This window comes from Homo sapiens, chromosome 16, assembly GCF_000001405.40.
Source record: "Homo sapiens chromosome 16, GRCh38.p14 Primary Assembly".
In the NCBI taxonomy this organism is placed as follows: Eukaryota; Metazoa; Chordata; class Mammalia; order Primates; family Hominidae; genus Homo; species Homo sapiens.
Window position 1 is genome coordinate 17144500 of NC_000016.10, and position 20266 is coordinate 17164765.

Consider the following 20266-nt stretch of genomic DNA (forward strand, 5'->3'; position numbering starts at 1 on the left):
GGGATGGCGTCATGGATGAGGCAGGGCTTGAGTCAGACTAGGAGGGGTGCAGGGAGGAGAGAAAAATGGACATTCTAGACAGAAAACAGACTCATCAGAGATCTGGGGAGCAGACCAGTTTGGCTTAATTGGGAGATTGCTCTGGGCAGATGACACAGATTGAAAAGGTCATACATTTTTAATAAAGATAACATCCACACAATGTAAAATAACAAGAGACCAAGAAATGATTTTATGATGAAGGGGATCTAAGTGTCTCGAGGAAGAGCTGCCTTTTCTATTTTCCACAAAGGCGCTGTGTGGATTGCTACAGGCAGCACCGAGTGCCTACTCCATGCAGGCTCCATGCAGACTGGAGGGGGATCAGGGGCTCTGCTGTAACAGCAGTGGTTTAAAATTAAGCATTTAAGGTGTACAGTTTAGTGGAATTAGTTCATTAACAATGTTGTCCAACTGTCACCTCTGCCTGGCTTCAAAACATTTCATCAGCCCCCAAAAGAAAACCCCATACACATTACACAGCCACTCCCCATTCATGCTAGCCCCTGATAACCATCAGTCTGTCTTCTGCCTCTATGGATTTACCAATTCTAGATATTTCATATAAAGGCAGTCATACAATATATGGCCTTTTGTGTCTGCATCTTTTGCTTCGCATAATGTTTTCCAGGTTCATCCATGCTGCAGCAGGTATCGGTGCTCCATGCCTTGTTTTTGCCTGCTCAGCATCCATTTATGATTTTTCTGGGAACCACATTTTGCTTTACTTTGGACTCATCCTTAAATCTCAGTTTACTTGGGTCTGTATCCTCACCCTAGCACCAGGGGGTGGGAACATGACCCAGGATGGATCAGAGCATCCCATCTGTCTGGCCTCCATAATCAATTCAGGGATGGGCCAGCAATGCAAGCTGGGTCTGAGACTAGGTCTTGGATTGTTGCTGGAGTTAGTGAGAAGGAGGGGCTTTTCTATGAGATTTCTGGCAGGGAGGATGTCAGCCTAGGGCTGCTGGTAGCCATCTCATCACCATGAATATAGAGGTTGTCTGACAATGGAGCAAACTGGAAATAGGAGACAGAAAGACACAGTGCCAAGCGCTTGATGGGTTCACTTGAGATTCTGGATCTCACTGTGCCTGACCCTCTCCCAGACTTGTGTGTTATGTGCTTAAGGCATTTTTGAGATGAGATTCCTCACTTGCATTTGAAAAAGTCCTAATACATGCCTGAATGATTTCAACTTAATCACAACCATGATGTGTGGGGAGGTTCTTAGGCTCCAGACAGGGCAGGTAGCCAGGGCTGTGGCACAAAAATGCTTCCTCTTCCACTGAGCCAGTCTGCTCAGAGTTCTAGAGCTGTCTGCATTTCTGCAACAGACCTCGTTACTCTGTCTTCAGACTGGAGTTACCTGTCTCCTCGCAGGTAGCCTTTATTCTCACTACAACACACTTTGGCTCTGGACTTTGTGCCTCCCTTCCAGGTCCTAGGACAGTGCAGGTCAGCTGCTCAAGAAAAGTCTACTGTGATGAGGAGACTTCAGGGTTTGGAAGCTGAAGATGGTCCTGCCCTGGTAGTCACGCTGAATTCCAGAAAGAATTCCCTCTCACCGGGCTTCCCACAAATCCACTGACATTCACTCAGGGGAATTACTTGAAACCTCATTAGTAAACCTACATTCTTAGCATTTCTTTTCTGCATGAGCAGAAAACCCACCTCTAGACATTGGCTACTATGGAAGATAATGACATAGTACACCTAAGTCATCACAAAATGGATGATGGTGTAATGAAATGGCGATGACGGTAACGCTGGCAGGGAACAGACTTAATTCGGCTGAAATGTGCTTTTCATCTGTGGGGCAGTGTGGTTTTACCTGTCACCAGCTGGGTGACTTCAAAATGTTAAGGAGTCCTCTCTGAGTCTCAGTTTCTTTCTTGGTAAAATACAAAGTTGGTCTAGATATGGGTTGTAAAGTTAGATCCCTACAGGGCGGTCAGACAGATAATGGAAGCGTGTGAAGCAGCCTGAATACGAAAAAACAAGGACTGATGAAATTAGCAGAGAAGTGAAGAACACACATTCTGAAATGCACTTCCACTCCTTTAAAATAAAAAAGCATTTCTGGTTGAATAAAACATCTCTCTAGGATGAATCCAGCCCATAAGCCATCGGTCCAGTCACAATAATCCTGGGTTAGGTAATTCCCAAGGTACTCTCCAGCTTTGACATTCTATAAGTCACATTGTTATACTCAGGAAAAGGGCATGGGGCAAGCAATACATCTCATATGGATACACGGGAGCCCAGAGAAGACTGGCAACTTTTCTAAGGACACACAGAGGACTCAACACAAGGGTAGAACCAATCAAAAGACCCAGCTGTCCTATGTCACGGGTCTTGCTCTTTCTCTAACACATCTTTCCACATGCAAAATCTGAGCTCATTAGCAAAGCCATGTTCTTGCTACAGAGCAGTCCTCTCTGTGTCTCAGTTTCCCCCTTGGTAAAATACAAAATTGGGCTAGGTCTGGGTTGTGAAGTTAAATCCCTATAGGGGTCAGACAGACAATGGAAGACAGATAATCCAAGCTCATTAGCAAAGTCATGTTCTTGCTGGGAAGGAACTCAGCGAAGATTTTTTGTAATACAGTATTAACCCACTGAAATGTAACTGAGCTCTAACTGGGTCATCAAAGGAAGCCCCTGAGTTTAGGAAAATAAAACCCTGCCTTGACTCTGGCTAGTGCTAATTATACAAAAATGTCCAGTCGATGCACTTAACCATGCTTGAAACTTTCAATTTTAGATAATTTGTATTCAAACTTACATGGTTACCAGACTAACCATGAGAGACAGACAGAGAAGAAATACAGGTGAGAGGACTAGCAAAATTTTTCTTTCCAGTTTTTAATTTCATGTTCCATTATATGGGATAATAGCATCGTCTTGCAATTTTAATGTGATGTCCCGGACCATAATATTCAAATACAATATTTATGCAGTCATCTCCAAAATGAAATATTCATGGGATTGGGAGATGGGTTGCTGTATTTATCACATTCAAAAACTGATATGCTGCAAACGCATGCTTTGGTTAACTAAGAGTAAATGGAGACAACCAATTCCCTAGGTCTCAGAAAAGTTTCTGGAGTCACAGGGGTGAATGGGGACTTAAGTCTTGGACTAGGAGATGGTGGCAGAGGCCCAGCAACAGGGTATCTACCAGGGGAGAGGCATCAGCTGTTTGGGCAGGGATTTGCATTTTTTCTTCCCTTTCTTTACCATAACTTGAAAAGGTAAAATTGGAAGGCAAGGTAAGTCAGTGAACACCTGAGTGACTTTTTATAAAATATGGCTCACCAACAAGGGGCGCATGGCTCTCTCACCTGAGGCGTGAAGCACAGATCTGTAGCAATAAGCCCCATATACAAAAGGTGACCAATGATACGCTCTTCCTTTTCATTTCCCATTGAGTAGGTTACCTGGGGCAACTGGGGCAACAGGTGACACTACAGCAAACAGACATTGGGTGATCTAGGTACTAATCCTGCCTCTGCATTCACAGGCTATGAGATGTGGGGCTGGCTTAACCTCTCTGAATGCCAGTTTCCTCATCTGTAAGATAAGCCCCATGACACCTGTGTCTTGACAGCCTCCTGAATCAGCTGCAAAGTGTGATGGATGATGCTTCTCACAGGGCCTTGCAAAGTGTTTAGTAAGCGCTGTTCACCCAAGCAATGAACCGACTCAACCATCAATCCCTTCTTACCTAAGGATGACATCCCTCCCCCATGCCTGGCATCCTCAATCCTCCTTTCATGCTTTGTATTTCTCCACAGGACTTTTCACTTTCTAACACAATATACAAGATATTTATTTAGTCTGTTGTCTATTTCCACTCACTAGATGTAAGCTGCAAGATGGCAGAGATTTTTGCCTATTTTTGTTCACTGCTGTATCCCTACTGCTTACATCAGTGCCTACCATACAACTGGTGCTTAATAAATATTTACTGAAAAAATGAATAAAAAGAAGGGTAACAGCCACACCTGTTGGGCAATCAGGCAGTCACAGACTTTCGTTAACTAGGTATTGGATCCTTCTAACACACATTTAACAGAAAAGAAAATTGAAGCTCAGAAAAGTTATGTAACTTTCCCAAGGTCACACAGCCAGAAGTCTTGAATTTAAATGCAGGTCTAGCTGGATCCAATGCAAGCTCTTAACTACTCTGCCATCTTTGATGCCCTGATTCACCATAGTCCCACCAAAAAGATAGAAAGAACGGATCTGTGATCTTCTAATGCTTGAAAAAGACAATGCCCAGAAATGAGAGAGAATCAAAAGAGAAGGGCTTATTGTTGGCTTTGGAAGAATCTTTCTGCCAGACCTCTGGAAGATATCTGTCTTCTACCTGAGGTCAAATATGAAATCATTTGCATTCAGTTTTACTTCCTAGGCTATGAGGAAGGGGCAGCTCACCTTCCTGATATTTTTACCTATTAGCACACTAAGGAAAAAGTCACAGCTAAATATGATCCTATTGGGACATCCCAGGGACCAAATCTACTCAGCTGAGCATCAAAGTAAATCAGACAGAGGGTGGGAAGAAGTCCTGATTCTCCCCCATGGGAGAAGAAGTCAGTTAAAAAAACATCTGTGGCTTTTGGAAATAATGTCAGAAAGGTGGATAACAAAGAAGTTTCTCAATTCAGTTAATTCACTGGCTACAATCTTGGTATATTCATCAAGTATGGAATTATTCCAGAATTAAGCTGTCCCACTGTAAGTTTTAGAAGGAATAACTCTGCTCTTCAAGTTTACAGCATGTCTGAGCAAGAAGGAATCTTCACAAGCAGCTAATATAGCTAATGCTACAAATTAAAAAAAAAACAACCTGAGAATGAAAGTACAAATGATACATCCAAAGTCACAATGCCTAGAAAAAATAAAATCTCCCCCTTTTCTGTTTTCCTGTCTGGTAATCTGTCATTGAATCTAGATTACTCCTTCAGCATAAGTACAACCTAAGGATTTTAGTTAAAAAATAAAGTCATGGAATAAATCATATAGACCCACAATGCATGAAATCAGTCAGCTATGTGAACAGGCTCACACATCTCTTCCTAGGCTCTCAGGAAAGGGCAGTTTAGCTGCCTGAGATTTTTCTCTACTGGCACAAAGTCACAGCTAAATATTATTCTATTGGGATGCAGTGGCAAGATTTTGAGTCCTGGAATCAGATTACTTGGCCCAAGTCTTGTGTCTTCTACTAACCTTAGGCAACTTTAATCATATGGTACTTTGGTTTCTCACAGGGGAAATGGTGATCATAATAGCTAATTCACAGAGCTGGTGTGATGATTCAAATGAGATTGTATACAGGGAGGGCTTAGCACATAGTAAGGGCTCCATAATGTCCATTACGATGCTTTATGTTTTTTTCCTTTATCAGGGTGAATTTCTATCTGTCCTATTCTCTCTTCTGGGATTTGGTAGACAGGTACATAGGACACCTCCACAGCTAAGAAGAAATCCTTTAGTCTGGCAGAGCAATGATATTTCAGCACCAAGGACAGAAGTCCTTGTTTTAGTTGTGCAATAGCCATGATTGTGGCATGAAGGTGACAAGTGTCCTGGCCATCCTTCTAATTCTGTCCAAGCTCTGGATGAGCTCGCGAGGATTCAGCTCCCTGATTTTGAAGTTTGGCAGTTCCTCAGGGCCCCTGCTAGCCATTTCTCTCAGGCCCACGGTAGGCTGTGCCCCTTCTGGGCCTGAGCTGGAGTCAATTGTTATTCCTCTATCCTACAGTAGCTGGAAGATCAAGAATGCTTGAGGAATTCATTCCTTTAGCAGCACTAGAGAGCACCTTCGATATTCCAGGCTCTGCTCTATGCACTGAGAAAATGGTTTTAAATAAAATGGACATCACCCCGCCCTTCTCTCTCTTCTAGGCAAGACAAAAAGCGTAAATAATAACAGCTACCATTTATTGAGCGTATACTACATTCTAGGCTCTGTTCTATGCACTTAATATATATTCTTCTGTTTAGAATTCACTGCAACCCCATGAGGGCTCATTTTACAAATGAAGGAACAGAGACACAGAAAGGTTAAGTAAATTTCCCAAGACCCACACAGCTGGTGAGTGGCAATGAGGGGAATCAAGCCTTAGTGTCAGGCTCTGCATTCCACACTCTAGCCACAAGGTTCTAATAAGTAAGTAGACATCGAGAAATATGAAACACAAATATAAAATTACATGCTATATAGGAACAAATATGGGGGTAATGATAGAAAATAAAGAGACAGGGACTTAATTAGTGGAGATCATTGGGGAAGGCTTCACTGAGGAGCAGGTGGCATGCAAGCTCAAAGAGAAGGAATCAGTCCTCTAAGGAGTTATGGGGAAGGCCTTTATGAGTGACAGAAAATTGAAAGTGCAAGGGCCCTGTGGCTGCCAAAGGAAGCTACAGGGAAGTCCTCAGCTTCAGAACCTCACTTCATAGGGGCCGACTTGATCTGATTGGTGGAAGGGACATACCACCCACAAGTCCACGTGGCTTGGATATGGAGGGAAACTCCGCAGTCAGCACCCTTAGGGAGTCAGTGCAGCATGGTGGTTAAGCACCCTGACTTCAGGCTGGGCGTGGTGGCTCACGCCTGTAATCCCAGCACTTTGGGAGGCCGAGGCAGGCGGATCACTTGAGCTCAAGAGTTTGAGACCAGCCTGGACAACATGGCGAAACCCCATCTCTACTGAAACTACAAAAATTAGCTAGGCATGGTGGCACATGCCTGTAATCCCAGCTACCTGGGAGACTGAGACACGAGAATCGCTTGTACCTTGCAGGTGGAGGTTGGAGTGAGCTGAGATTGCACTCCAGCCTGGGTGATGGAGCGAGACTCTGTCTCAAAAAGAAAAATAAAAAGAACCCCAACTTTGGAGTCACTCTGCTTGGCTTCAAGTCTGTCTCGCCACCTATGAGCTGTGTGTTATTTAATCTTTCTAGCCTCAGTGTCCCCATCTGGAAAATGGGCACGATGATGATCGCATTTATGTCATGGGGTTGTTGTAGAAAGAGTGAATATCTGTAAGGTGCTTAGGATAATCAGTGGCACATGTACCAGTTATTATTGCTGCCCTGTGTGGAGAAAGCTGACTTAGGTTTGACATTCAAGGATGATGATTAGTTCAATGTCAGAAAAGGGGAGCTAGGGAGGCAGCTCAGATGCCATCCCGGCCTCCAATAGGAGAATGCTGCCTCTGGCAGATGGGGTTCAGGCCAGAGAAGAGAGAGAAACTTCTCTATACCACTTCTGACCTGGGGCTGGAATCTACCTGCCTGGCTTTCTTATATTTCCCAAGGAGGGCAGAAAAAGAAGCTCAAGTAGAAATGCAGAGTCAGTGGCCTGAATCCTGAGGCTGGAGTACCTGGGCTTGGTGGCTCACATTCTTCACAGGGCTCACGTCACTGAATCAGCTTGCATCGCCAAGCGTCTAAAGGTCTGTTGAGGGCTAATTGGTTTTCCACATTTCATGTATTTTTGAAAACATTGTTTACTGCCTTTTTTCTGATTATAAAAGGAATGCATAGCCTTGATAGATGGTTTGGAACATAAAAAAATGCAAAGAAGAAAATAAAAATCATACTCTACCTTTCAGAGATGACACTGGGAATGTACTTCCCCTCTAGTCTTTTGTCTAACTTCTTTGTGTATTGTTTGGAAAGAAGAAAAGTTCTAAAGATGACCTAAAAACACACGCTGAGGCCCAGGGAGGTATGTGTGTGCAGTTTTGTGTGGGTGCCTACATAATGCCAGACTTTATTTTGACGTGGCTGCTATAATTGGATTAAATAAAGTGAACATGCAAACAGTCATGAACGCATCGGTTGGGTTTAAGGAAAGCAAAAGAGAAATGCAATCTGCTTTCCCTATTGGAGATGAGATATTAATGATCTCCTTGCATCAGTCATGGAGCTACAAGTTAGCCAGAAACAGAGCTCTTCTCTCAATAAGCAAGCTGGCACCAAAGGCCTTCCCGAATGCGGATTTGCCTGGAGGAGGTTCCTGGCCAGGCTCTCGACTGATTTGCCAACTTTTGTTTAAACATTTGCTTGTTTATACATCAAAGGAGGTTTGGGTCTGATGATTAGTTCAATGTCAGAAAAGGGGAGCTAGGGAGGCAGCTCAGATGCCATCCCGGCCTCCAATAGGAGAATGCTGCCTCTGGCAGATGGGGTTCAGACCAGAGAAGAGAGAGAAACTTCTCTATACCACTTCTGACCTGGGGCTGGAATCTACCTGCCTGGCTTTCTTATATTTGAAATGATAGCTGTTTCTCTTACTATGCTTTGCCTTACTTTAAGCATAATACCCATAAATCATGGGTTGGAGTGGCTAATTTTATAAATTGTTGTCGATACATATAAGGTCAATACCTAACTTTCATCACATGCCCACTTATAAAGGGCCCAAAAGAATCTCCCATGTCCCCAGTGGACATGAGAGTTATTGAACATAAGAGTTATTGAACATTTTTGTAACATCTTAATTATGTGTATATTATCATCAAGATTCTTCTCATATCAACAACACCATCATTATCACCACTACTACCACCACCATTGTGATCATCATCAACTTAATAGGCGCAACTAACTGTCCCCAAGGGCTTTTCCATATATTAATTCTTGCAACAACTCTATGGGATTGGTATGATTATCCTCATTCCCATCTTACAGATGAGAAAACTGATACACAGGTAACTCACGTAACTTACCCAAGGTCACACACTGTGAGTGGGTATTAGAGTTGGCCCGTGAATCTTGACAGTCTGGCTCCAGAGCCTGGATTCTTAACTGCTATGCTATGTGCTTTATGTAGCATCCTATACAAGAGGCCCCTTAATATTCTGCTCTAAGCCAACTTTATTATTTTTAGAGACATGATCTCGCTTTGTCACCCAGGCTGCAATGCAGTGGTGCAAGCCTCAAACTCCTGGCCTTAAGCGATCCTCCTACATCAGCCTCCCAGGATGCTGGGATTACAGGTGTGAGCCACTGTGCCCGGCCTCTAAGCTAACTTTAAATAGCTTCAACTGTTTTCTTTCAATGTAGCCTTATTCGAAGCATAATATCCATAAGTCATGGTTGGAGCAGCTAATTTTATAAATTTGTTGATACACATAAGATCAATACCTAACTTTCATAGCATGCCCACTTATAAAGGACCCAAAAGAATCCCCCATGTCCTGGTGGCACATAAACACACTTTGCAAAATGCTGACCCTAGGAAGTAGGGGAAGGACCTACCCTCACCCATGCAAAAAGATAATTCTATTTACATTCAGCAGGATTTTCTTTCATCTGCACACCTCGAGAGCGTAAACCTGCAGGTCCTCTCAAATGCAGTCACTATGGAGTAATAAAAGAACACAGGCCTTAAAGTCAGACGGAACCAGGTTCCATCTCAGCTCTGTCGTTCACTAGCTGTAGGGCCTTGAGTAAGGTAAAGCGACTCTCAAACCTCAGCTGTATTCATTTCTGAAATGGGGTAACACCTGCTAAATGAAGGTGAAATGAGAAAATGTCCTGGAATGCGCCCAGCGTGGGGCCTTCCTGTGGCCAGTGAGGATGCTCCATCTCCCCAATACCATGATCATTATTTGAATTTTATAAAGATGGAGAAACAGAGGCATGGCCTGTCGAAGCCATTTGCTGACATCCCATGGCTGTGGTATAGAAGAGCTGGCATTTCGACCCAGGTGGCTGGACTCCAGCATCTATGCTCTGGCACTTCACACACTGTGTCCCAGGGCTAACATGGGGGCCCTGGTGACCCTGGATGAAGTGGAGAAATTAGATCAACCAGGGAAGGAAAAGTCTCAGAAAAACTCCGATTTTCACTTTCCAGCTCCCTGGAAGAGGCCTGTCCCCACACACTGAGACTTGAACAGGTTTCAGAGATTTGAAAAACTTCTCTGATGCTCCCTGAGCCAAGGCCAGGGACTTGTAGGGATGTTTCCAAATACCTGATTATTCAGGCTGAGAGTAAACATGCGGCCACCTGCTTCTGCAAGCCCTGCTGAGGCTGCCTGGGAAAATGACAATTGTGCTACCTGTCTTGCAATGTATCTAGTGACTTTACTTTTGGAGGAAAGCAAGGAGAAACAGTGAACACAACCCTCCCCTTCATTTAATAACAGAAACAATCAGGACCAATTTGGCAGCTATTAGAATACTAGTTTGCCTTTATGCCATCTCTTCACAGTGGGAGCCAGAAGTCCAAATTGGCTGCTAAAGGTTGGAGATGAAGACAGAAGGTCAACATTGCTATTAGGAGCTACGTGGAATTAAAAACCGAGGCACCCCGTGGCCTATTCTGTATTTCACTGCTTGCCTTTGTTCATCCCCATCTCTCTGTCTTTCAAGATCTCTGCCTCTGTCACCTCCTCTTTTACCAGGGCTGGTCTGGACACATGAAATACCAGAATGGGAAGGGAATTTGGAGACTTTCTCATGCAACCCCCTTGTTTTTCAAAGGGAGAAAATGAAGTCAAGAGAAGCAGAGTAGCTGCCTCAAAGTCACCAGTGCATTGGAAGAAAGCAGGCCTAGAACACAGAGAGGCTTCATCACGTGAGAATTATGAGCTTGGACTCTGTGAACACTCACTTGGGTGTGAGTCCTCCCCGCTGCCCTAGTGCTGTGAGTTTGAGCAAGTAACTTCATCTTTTTGAGTCTCAGTTCCCTTATCTATAAAAGGAGGCTAATATATTGCCAATAATCCCCACCCAGTGCCAGAAAATTAAACATACACACAGAAAAACAGAACTAATAGAGAGTCTGGGCCTGATGATATAATTTGCACAGCTTGATTTAGCCATACCTGAAGTCAGCCCTAATGTTTTAGTTACCTGATCTGGTAATGTTCTTTACCCTTAAGCTAGTTTGAGCTGGGTTTCTGTCATTTCCCACCAAAAGAGTTCTCCCTAACACATCACCAGTGAAAGAACTTGAGCAAGCCACGCCCAGCTCTGGTCACTTGGGAGGGACCATGGATGATGGGCTATAGGTAGGCTTATTCGTGCAGCAGGTGAGGCCACAGCTAACAAAGAGGGAAGTGGCCAGTGAATGGGACATTGGCTTGTTTTACTATTAAATTAATGCTGAATCACTGCCCTAACTTCCGGTAAATGAGAAAATCCCAGCTGGGGACTCACACGCAAGAGTTGGAAGTTGTGAGCTATTCTGTCAAGAGGCCTTTGGGTTTTAGGGTCTTGGAGGGAGGTGTAAGAAGCATTTCCTCAGCCTGAGACTTCTTTATGTTGTCCCAAGACATCTGGGTACCACCTGTCAATTACGGATGCACATCAATTATACAAAATGTACTCAGGCACCTAGAGGCAAAATTCAGGCCCATTCTCCATCTATTTCTTTCTCCTACCAGCAACAATTTAGTTCTATGCTTATCATAACAATGACATAATCATCACCATCACCATCATCATAAACATTTACTATGCCAAATGCTGTATATGCAGCATCTCATTTAATCTTCTCAATGAATAAATGAGTATAGGTCTATTAATATTTTCAAATATTATGAAACCAGTTCAGAGAGGTTAAGTCACTCGTCCAATGCAACACAGCTAGAACACAGTAGATCAGAATTCCAAACCAGAAGGTGTAACCTCACAGTCCCTGTTTTTAACTTGTGCTATACTCAGTTCCTAGCACAGTGCCTGACAAATAGTGCTCAGAGAATAAATCCTGACTAGGCTGAAATAGTTAATACTAGGGTGGATGTAATTCACACACAAGTTGATACATTTACAATGGGCTCCTTTCTCGAGACACAACTTTGCACAAATCACCTATTAGCTGCTACCTGGAGAAGAAGAAGGGTTTTTCCTTCTCTACCTGAGGGCGAGGAATACCAATGTCTGAGCCACTTCTGACAATTAACCACCTCCATGGAATCCTTGCCCAGCCCCACTTTGCTCCTGCAGCTATGGGGCCAGAAAAACTTGGGTTCAAATTCTAGCATTTAACCAGCTGTGTGATCTTCAGAAAAATCAGGTAAACTCCAGAAGCTTGACAAATGGGGAGAATAATTCTTACAGCTGCATTGAGTGGCTGTGAAAACAAATATGGATCCTATACAAAAAGGGCCCACTTAGTAGGAACACAATACACAGTGGCCATGATTCTTCTTACTCATCCAGCCAGGCCTCTGTACTCTTAGTGGCCTGAGCGTAGTAAACTAATCTGTGCTAATTTACAGAGCATCTTCAAGTTCGGGTGTTGCAGAAAGAGGCCTCCTTTTTAATGTAAAGAAGGTAGGCTGTGAGTAGGGGCAGGAACAATCCATAAATAGCAGAATGAAATCAAAGTTTCAATTTAGAAAAATGATACAACACAAGGATTCTAGGGTTACTTTTTTTTTTTTTTCTATTTTGAGATGGAGTCTCCCTCTGTCACCCAGGCTGGAGTGCAGTGGTACAATCTCCACTCACTGCAACCTCCGACTCCCAGGATCAAGCGATTCTCCTGCCTCAGCCTCCCAAGTAGCTGGGATTATAGGTGTGCACCACCACACCCGGCTAATTTTTGTATTTTTAGTAGAAATGGGGTTTTACCATGTTGGCCAGGCTGGCCTCGAACTCCAGACCTCAGGTGATCCGCCTGCCTCACCCTCCCAAAGTTCTGGGATTACAGGCCTTGAGTCACGGCACCTGGCCAGATTACTTCTTTAAAGCTCAGGAGACGGAGCTACCTGCTTGCTTTTGTTCCTCCCATGCTGTGGATAACTGGGTAAACTGTCACAGAGCCAGCCAAAATGACACTCCCACCAACAACAGCAGTGAAGATTTAAAGCAGAGATTACAAACAGAGATGTGGTCGGGGGCCAGGTTGGGGAACGGGGACAGGCAAGGACCGAGCGACCTAAGATCCAGGAAATAACTGCCATGAGAAAATTCAGGCACAGACTTAATGGACCTTCAGATTTTTTAAGACTGGCTAGAAATCTGGATTTTCATAGGAAATACTGCTGTTTTTAAATGGGGCTATTAATTTTCAAATGAAGCACCTGAATGAAAACAAGACAAAACAAAACACTCTGAGAGCTAAACCATGCACGTTAACAAGCTGAAATGATCCCAAGCACTGCCAGGTTCAATGCTAGAACAAGACCCCGGGATGTCAGAGCCACCCTGGACTGGTGTTTAATGGTGTTTTCTTTTTTTGTTTTCTTTTTTAGATGGAGTCTCACTCTCTTGCCCAGGGTGGAGTGCAGTGGTGCAATCTTGGTTCATTGCAACCTCCGCCTCCCAGGTTCAAGTGATTCTCCTGTCTCAGCCTCCTGAGTAGCTGGAATTACAGGCATGTGCCACCACACCTGGCTAATTTTTGTATTTTTAGTAGAGACAGGGTTTTACCATGTTGGTCAGGCTGGTCTCAAACTCCTGACCTCATGATCTGCCCGCCTCGGCCTCCCAAAGTGCTGGGATTACAGGCATGAGCCACTGCGCCTGGCCTTTAATGGTATTTTCTATTGGAATGAGGAATCCCATCACGTGATGTCACCTACAGGGGGCGCTCAATACTGTATCCCTTCCAGTTGATGGACCATCATGGAGACTTGGGCTCAGCTCAATGCTGAACTGCAGAGATGCTATTTTTTTGACATTGTTCATTTTAAGCGAGAGAGGTGTGAGGGATCTGGGTTGGGGTTCTGGGTGCCTCCCACCCCTGCTGATGTGTTGGACACCAGTGAGGGAGTGAGGAGGACATGGGGCTGGGATCAGGACCCCTGGGTTCAAGTCCATGCTGGTATGACACTCTTTTCCACTACAGGTCAATTCCCTGAGAGGAAGGACTTGGTCTTGTTTGCGGCTAGAACAGCAACTGGCACACGCCCATGCTTGTTAAGTATTTGAATGAGTGGCTGACTGAATGAACGATCTGGGGACGTTGCTTACATTATGGGCCTCAGTCTTCCCATCAATAAAATGAGAATTAACCGTGGGTGCCCTACTGAAAGGGTTGCTGCAATGAGATATTGGACTTGTGGAAGTCCTTGGGGGAAGTAATCAAAAGGGCTGTCACACCATGAGAAACATCTATGGTTATCTTGTCCTTGGCTGACAGAAGGGACTACTTCAGATCCCACGCAGACACAGCGAAGGACAGCTGGTGCCAAGCCTTTCTCCCACCCTCAACCTTTCTGTGGCTGCATGAAACCAGCCTAGAAAATTCCCCAAATGATCACTCAGATTTTCATTTCCATTTTGTACAGGGGTAGGGGTTGAGGTGCTACCTTGCATTGTCCCGGCCGTGTGACTTCAAGAAATTCATATCTCGGTATCGGGAGAGAAACGCCACCAACTGGTCATTTGTCCTGTGGAAACAAACCAAGGGGAGAGTCAGGCCAGACACCGTGGGTACTGTCTTTGTCACAGAAAGCAAGTTTCACCAATTATGTCAGTCTGCTTGAAGCACCTTCTCTGATCATTTGCACACAGGCTGATAAGGCATCCTCTTTATATCGCCATTTTTATGTCACCATCACTGACTCTATCACACTATGTTAAAATGGGCTGTTTGTGCATTTCTCTCCTCTATACTCCAATATACTGGAGACTCTGTGAGGGCAAGTGTGGTGCTCCACATGTTTGGGAATCTCCAGTGCCTGGCACTGGGCTTGGCAAACAGCAAGTCAGCCCAAAGCTAAATGCACAGCAACCTCAGGACCTTTGCATTTGCTTGCCTGGGAAATTTCTCCCAGTATTGCTGGCTTGGCTTTGTCATCAGGTGTCCTTTCAAATACCACCTCTTTAGAGAGACCTTTTCTGACCACTTAACCTAAAGTAGTACCTGCCTCCCGCTCTCTCCCCACCTTTATTACATCACTCTGTTTATAATACTTCACTCTTGTATCACCAGCTGAAAGCACTGACCTTGCTTACATTAGAATGTAAGTTCCACGAGGACAGAGCCCAGCTGGATTTGTTCAACACTGGCATACAGTAGGAGCTATATTAATATTTGTTGAATAAACAAATGAATCAAAGTGATGTGTGTTCAAACTGACTCCTTCAAATGCACTTTGAGCAATGAATGCATCAATGAATGGACGGATACCAAGTCCTCGATAACCACGGGGCTACTGATTGAGAGAGCTTTAAAAAATATGAAGTCCAATACAAACGAGTGACATCGTTGCCAGCATTGTTATCCCAAATTTATCCCCATCAATCTCAGCACTAGCAGTGTAATCACAGCTAATCCGCTTGCGCATACAGCTGTGACAGTATTTTAAAAGGCAGTCACACGGGTCTCCATCTGCCAGAAACGCAGTCGCCTCTTCTGCTGAATAAACCCAAACAGGTAAATGGTGCTGATGTGACAGCTCCTTTATCACCAGCCTTCTCTGCTTCGGAATTTTTACTTCAAAGGAAAGCGTTAACTATTGTTTCAAATGGGAGGAACAGAGAAGAGAGCAGAAAGATAAAAAAACATCTCTGGGGTTATAATAGAAGCTAGACCTTCGAGAAGCAGGACAGTGCTTTAGAAAGCAATGCTTGGGCAGAAACAGAAAGATCTGGGGACAGATCCCAGCTCCATGACTGAGTCAGCTGTGTGTCCAAGGATGTCATTTAACCTCACTGAATGGCAGCTTTCTCTGAATGCGCCTAGGTTGAAAATTAAACATGCCCAGCACCTAGTAGGCCCATCATGCATATATACTGAATGGACAACTGGGTGGATTTAAAGGGCACACAGTAGGGGCACAATCAATGCACGTCGTCCTGCTCTGCCTCCCAACTCTTTGGTCTGAGCTGCCCCTACTGCTCACCCCCTCCTTCATTTCCCTGCGCCTCTGCAGTCTCGCCACTCCAAGCCCCTGTTCTCTCATTGGATGACTCATGTTGACCAACTCATAATTCCAGCGGAGGGGGCACAAAGCAGTTAAGAGAGGCAGCAGTGAAAATGAGCGCTGCTCGTGTCCCATCCTATTACTGAAATAAACACCAATTCAAAACCAGCCATTCTAGCAGCGGCAGGCACCAGAAACACCCCGTGTGTCTGCAGGGAGTTGAATACAGCACACACACGGAAAGCTAAACCTTGCTGATGGGCACAGAGGTGAACCCAGGGGATGCTCGCAAAGGGCTAACCCCACGTGTCCCTACAATGGTGCATCTCCCGCGTGGTTAAACCCCATCGTGCATGCCAAGGTAAAGTCCACTGGTGCCTCCGACACTGTTACCTGTAGTTTGTGGGGACAGAGCCTCTTTAATAAGTCGCTGGGAGAGGTGGAAACTAAATCGGCCTATAAAAAAATTTAAGCAATGTTTCTCTCCAAACCATAAAGAGGCCCATTCCAACTGCGTTTTAACAGCTCTTATTTACCAACCCCCTCACCACTCTCCGCAACAGTTCATTATTGTTGTCCTGATGAATACGAGACAAGTTAACCTCTGAATGGGTCCCCGGCAGTTGGAATAATAAATAAGGTCTCTCAGACACCCTTAGTGGGAGGATTGAAGGGGCCGGGCCGGGGCTCCTGGGCCCCCTTCTCGTGAAGCCTCAGGTCTCCCAGGGTCAGCGGCTGCAGTTCCATTTGGCAATCCCAGAAAGCGCCTTTCAGGGCTGTGAGCTGGGGCCATTTTCACATTTACCGCTTCACCGAGTCCCCATCTGACGGGGATGAATAGGCATTTAGCGAATTTACTTAGCGATGCTTCCACATGAAATCGTCTCAAAAGATGACATCTTGGGGGAGGGAGGGTGGATGAGGAGGGGGCTGAGGTTTCCAGGCCCAGAGCTTTTGGGCAAAGCCGCCTTTCAAAGCCAAGCGCTGTGTGCTTGGCAAAGGATCCTGATGGATTGTCTGGAAGGGTGGGGCGGGGGGACCCCTGCCTACCCCCCTTGCTAGGGTCTCGGGCCCCTCGCTCTCCCTCTGTGTGAAATGCTTGCTCTGAATGCTAAAGCCCATCCCCCCAGTCCTTCTCCAAAGGGAGATGGAATTTGGCTGAGGACCAAATTCTCCTATTGTTGCTTTCAGACGCCTGTCGATAATTGCCTACATAATATTTAGTTCTCTCCAGATAATTAACAGCTTGCGATCTGGTGACATTTTACCCCGTTCCAGTTTCTCGCGCGCTCTCTCTCTCTCTCTCTCTCTTCCACTCACACACGTTTCTCACTCTCTTTTTCTGGTGAAGTCATTTGCCAAATGGTTCCCATAGTTCATCTCTTGTATCTATCTCATCATCAATTTCCTCCTACTTTTTGCTGAAATGATTAGAAATCATGTCTCTTGGTCTATGCCAGTTCCTCTGCTTCCTGAGGATAACTGGGGCCTGTTGCTACCACCATGGGAGTCACTGGGAAGTCTCTGCTGAAATAAGTAAGAAATAAATGTTAAAATAAACTTACTGGGAGCCATATGAGAATCTTTTTCGAAATGAATAAAAAAATGAGTAATACAATAATCTCCCAAGTCCCAGCCATTTACTAAATGTGCACCATGCCCTAGGCCATGGGGAAAGACTTTTGCCACATTTTATTGCATTTGATAGTCACAATGATGCTAAAAAATGTAAATTTTGGCTGGGTGTGGTAGCTCATGCCTGTAATTCCAGCACTTGGGGAGGCCGAGGCAGGTGGGTCACTTGAGGTCAGGAGTTTGAGACCAGCCCGGCCAACATGATGAAACCCTGTCTCTACTAAAAATACAAACAAATTAGCCAGGTGTGGGCATGTACACCTGTAGTCCCAGCTACTCAGGAGGCTGAGGCTGGAGAATTGCTTGAACTTGGGAAGTGGAGGTTGCAGTGAACACAGATCGCTCCACTCCACTCCAGCCTGGGTGAAAGAGTGAGACTCTGTCTCAAAAAAAAAAAAAAGGAATTTCACTTCACTCTCATTTTACGGACGGGCAACCGAGACTTAGATAAATCATCCATTTAGTAAAGTGCAGAACCAGAACTGGAACCTGGGGACAAATGTCACAGCTTGTGTTCTCTACTACGAGACTGCCTCTACAAATGATAGTGAATGAACGAGTGAATGAATGAATGAATGTATTCCATTTCAAGTGCAGAAGAAAAAAAATACAGGCGCAATAATGTCTTCCTCTTCATAGCCTGGTCTGCAGCCCACTGCTATTAGAAATGCCATACTTCAGGCCCCACCCAATACCTATTGAGCAACAGAGCTCACCCAATATCTATTGAGCAAAAATGTGTTTTCAAACAAGATTCCAGATGATGCATGTGCTCTTTAAAATTTCAGAAGCATTGCTGTAAGTCATGTATGACTATGAGTAGTTAATTCTCTGCTTTCCATCTTTATCTGCTCCTCATGGTTTCTTCTGGAGAACCCGGACTATGAATGAATTACTTTCATTTCAATAAGCCTTAGGTCTTGAGAGTATTAAATAAAAACAATGCACCTAATATCTGTGCCACAGTACTTGGCATATAGTAATCCCCTGATAAATGTCAGCTATTATATAATAGCATTATTATTACCATCTTGAACATCAGAAGCTTAAGACACCTTGAACTGTGGAAAACAGTGTAAAGACCCAACCTGATTTGAACTTGGAAGGCTTTCTGTGCATAAGACCCATGGAATGTTCTGCAGAGCATAGTTTAAGAGATGTCCAAGGCCCCTTCCTGGGGATTTGTCCAAGGTCCCTTCCCAGCTGGTGTCAGACTTAGGGACTGGCTCCCAGAGGGCCATGGCACCATTGTGTGTGTGTCTTATCTATATAACAGCTCTGGACATGAAGATATGAAGGAAGAGAGGGCAGAGTTCTCAGGTTCCCATAGCACCCAGGAGCCCAGGCTGTATGGAAAAGGTGCCCTGGGCACACAGAGGCACACAATGCCTGTTTGCTGGTGGCATGTGACAAGAGATGAAGCCTGCTCAGCTTCCACTAGGAAGGAGCCCAACACAAAGCCAACTGCACCTCTCTGGGCTCCCGGTGCCCACCTGGCACTCATGCCCCAGAACCCCTTCCCGACTGCAGGATACTGTCAAGGACCCTGCCAGAGGTGCTCACAGCCCAACGGTGAGGTGACAGGACTAAAGCCAAAGTTATACGCAGGATTTTGTGAATGTCAGGATTCAGGATTTCAAACCTCTGATGCTGCCAGGTGTGCACAGAGCCCAGGGGACACTGGAGTAAGTCCTCCTGGACTGCAATGAACGACCCATTGTGGGGCAGAAACACACATGAAAGACTATGGGGAGGCCAGGCATGCCTGTAATCCCAGCACTGTGGGAGGCCAAGGCGGGTGGATCATTTGAGGTCAGGAGTTAGAGACCAGCCTGACCAACATGGTGAAACCCCGTCTCTACTAAAAATACAAAAATTAGCCAGGTGTGGTGGCATGCGCCTGTGATCCCAGGCTGAGGCAGGAGAATCGCTTGAACCCAGGAGGTGGAGGTTGCAGTGAGGAGAGATCGCGCCACTGTACTCCCACCTGGAAAACAAGAGCGAAACTCTGTCTCAAAAAAAAAAAAAAAAAAAAAAAAAAAAAAAGAAAGACTATGCTGGTGCATGAGGGACTGTGAAGTCAGGCAAGTTGAGGAAGTTGAGGGTTGAGGTGCTTTCAACCTAAGCTGAGAATAGACTACAACAGTGTTTCCCCAACTTCTGCTTCTAGTGTACCCATAATCTTTAAGTTATTTCATATGTCTATTTAATTTAAATTCTACTTTAGCTTTATCTTATGCACCAATGTTTGTGATATTTGATGTCACAAATTTTTTTTTTTTTTTGGAGACAGAGTCTTGCCATCTTAACCATTTTTCTGAGATCAGACGAGGTTGGGTGTGTTCAGGGTGATATGTCTGTAGACCATCTTAACCATTTTTCAGTGTACAGTTCAGTGGTACTGGATGGATTCACATTGTTGTGCAACCATCACCAATATCCATCTCCAGAACTCTTTTCATCTTGCAAAACTGACACTCTCTACCTGTTAAATAATAATTCTCTATTTCTCTCTTCTATAGCCCCTGGCAACCCCCATTCTACTTCCTCTCTGCTATTTTAACTATTCTAGGTACCTGACATAAGTGGAATTGTACAGGATTTGTGTTTTGCTGGCTGACTTATTTAACTAGCACCATGTCCTCCAGGCTCATCCATATTGTATCATACCTTAGAATTTCTTTCCTTTTTAAGGCTGAATAATACTCTCTCATGTACCACCTGTATGTTATTTTTTTCCCT

The 20266-nt window shown here is 44.7% G+C and overlaps 1 protein-coding gene across 3 annotated transcripts in view, besides 1 other annotated feature; it reads right to left on the minus strand.

The window, feature by feature from the left end:
• XYLT1 (xylosyltransferase 1) overlaps positions 1-20266 on the minus strand; it is a 369192-nt gene that overhangs the window by 42731 nt on the left and 306195 nt on the right. For all 3 annotated transcript variants that reach the window (XM_047434458.1, NM_022166.4, XM_017023539.3), the window contains one exon: positions 14330-14410. In XM_047434458.1, the coding sequence (XP_047290414.1) occupies positions 14330-14410 (81 nt within the window). The remainder of the gene's footprint in view (positions 1-14329; positions 14411-20266) is intronic.
• Positions 5460-5660: a silencer, noted in NCBI's record as "peak2513 fragment used in MPRA reporter construct". NCBI's record gives its function as "represses an SCP1 promoter by STARR-seq MPRAs in K562 erythroleukemia cells {active_cell/tissue: K562}" and the evidence as "EXISTENCE:reporter gene assay evidence [ECO:0000049][PMID:32103011]".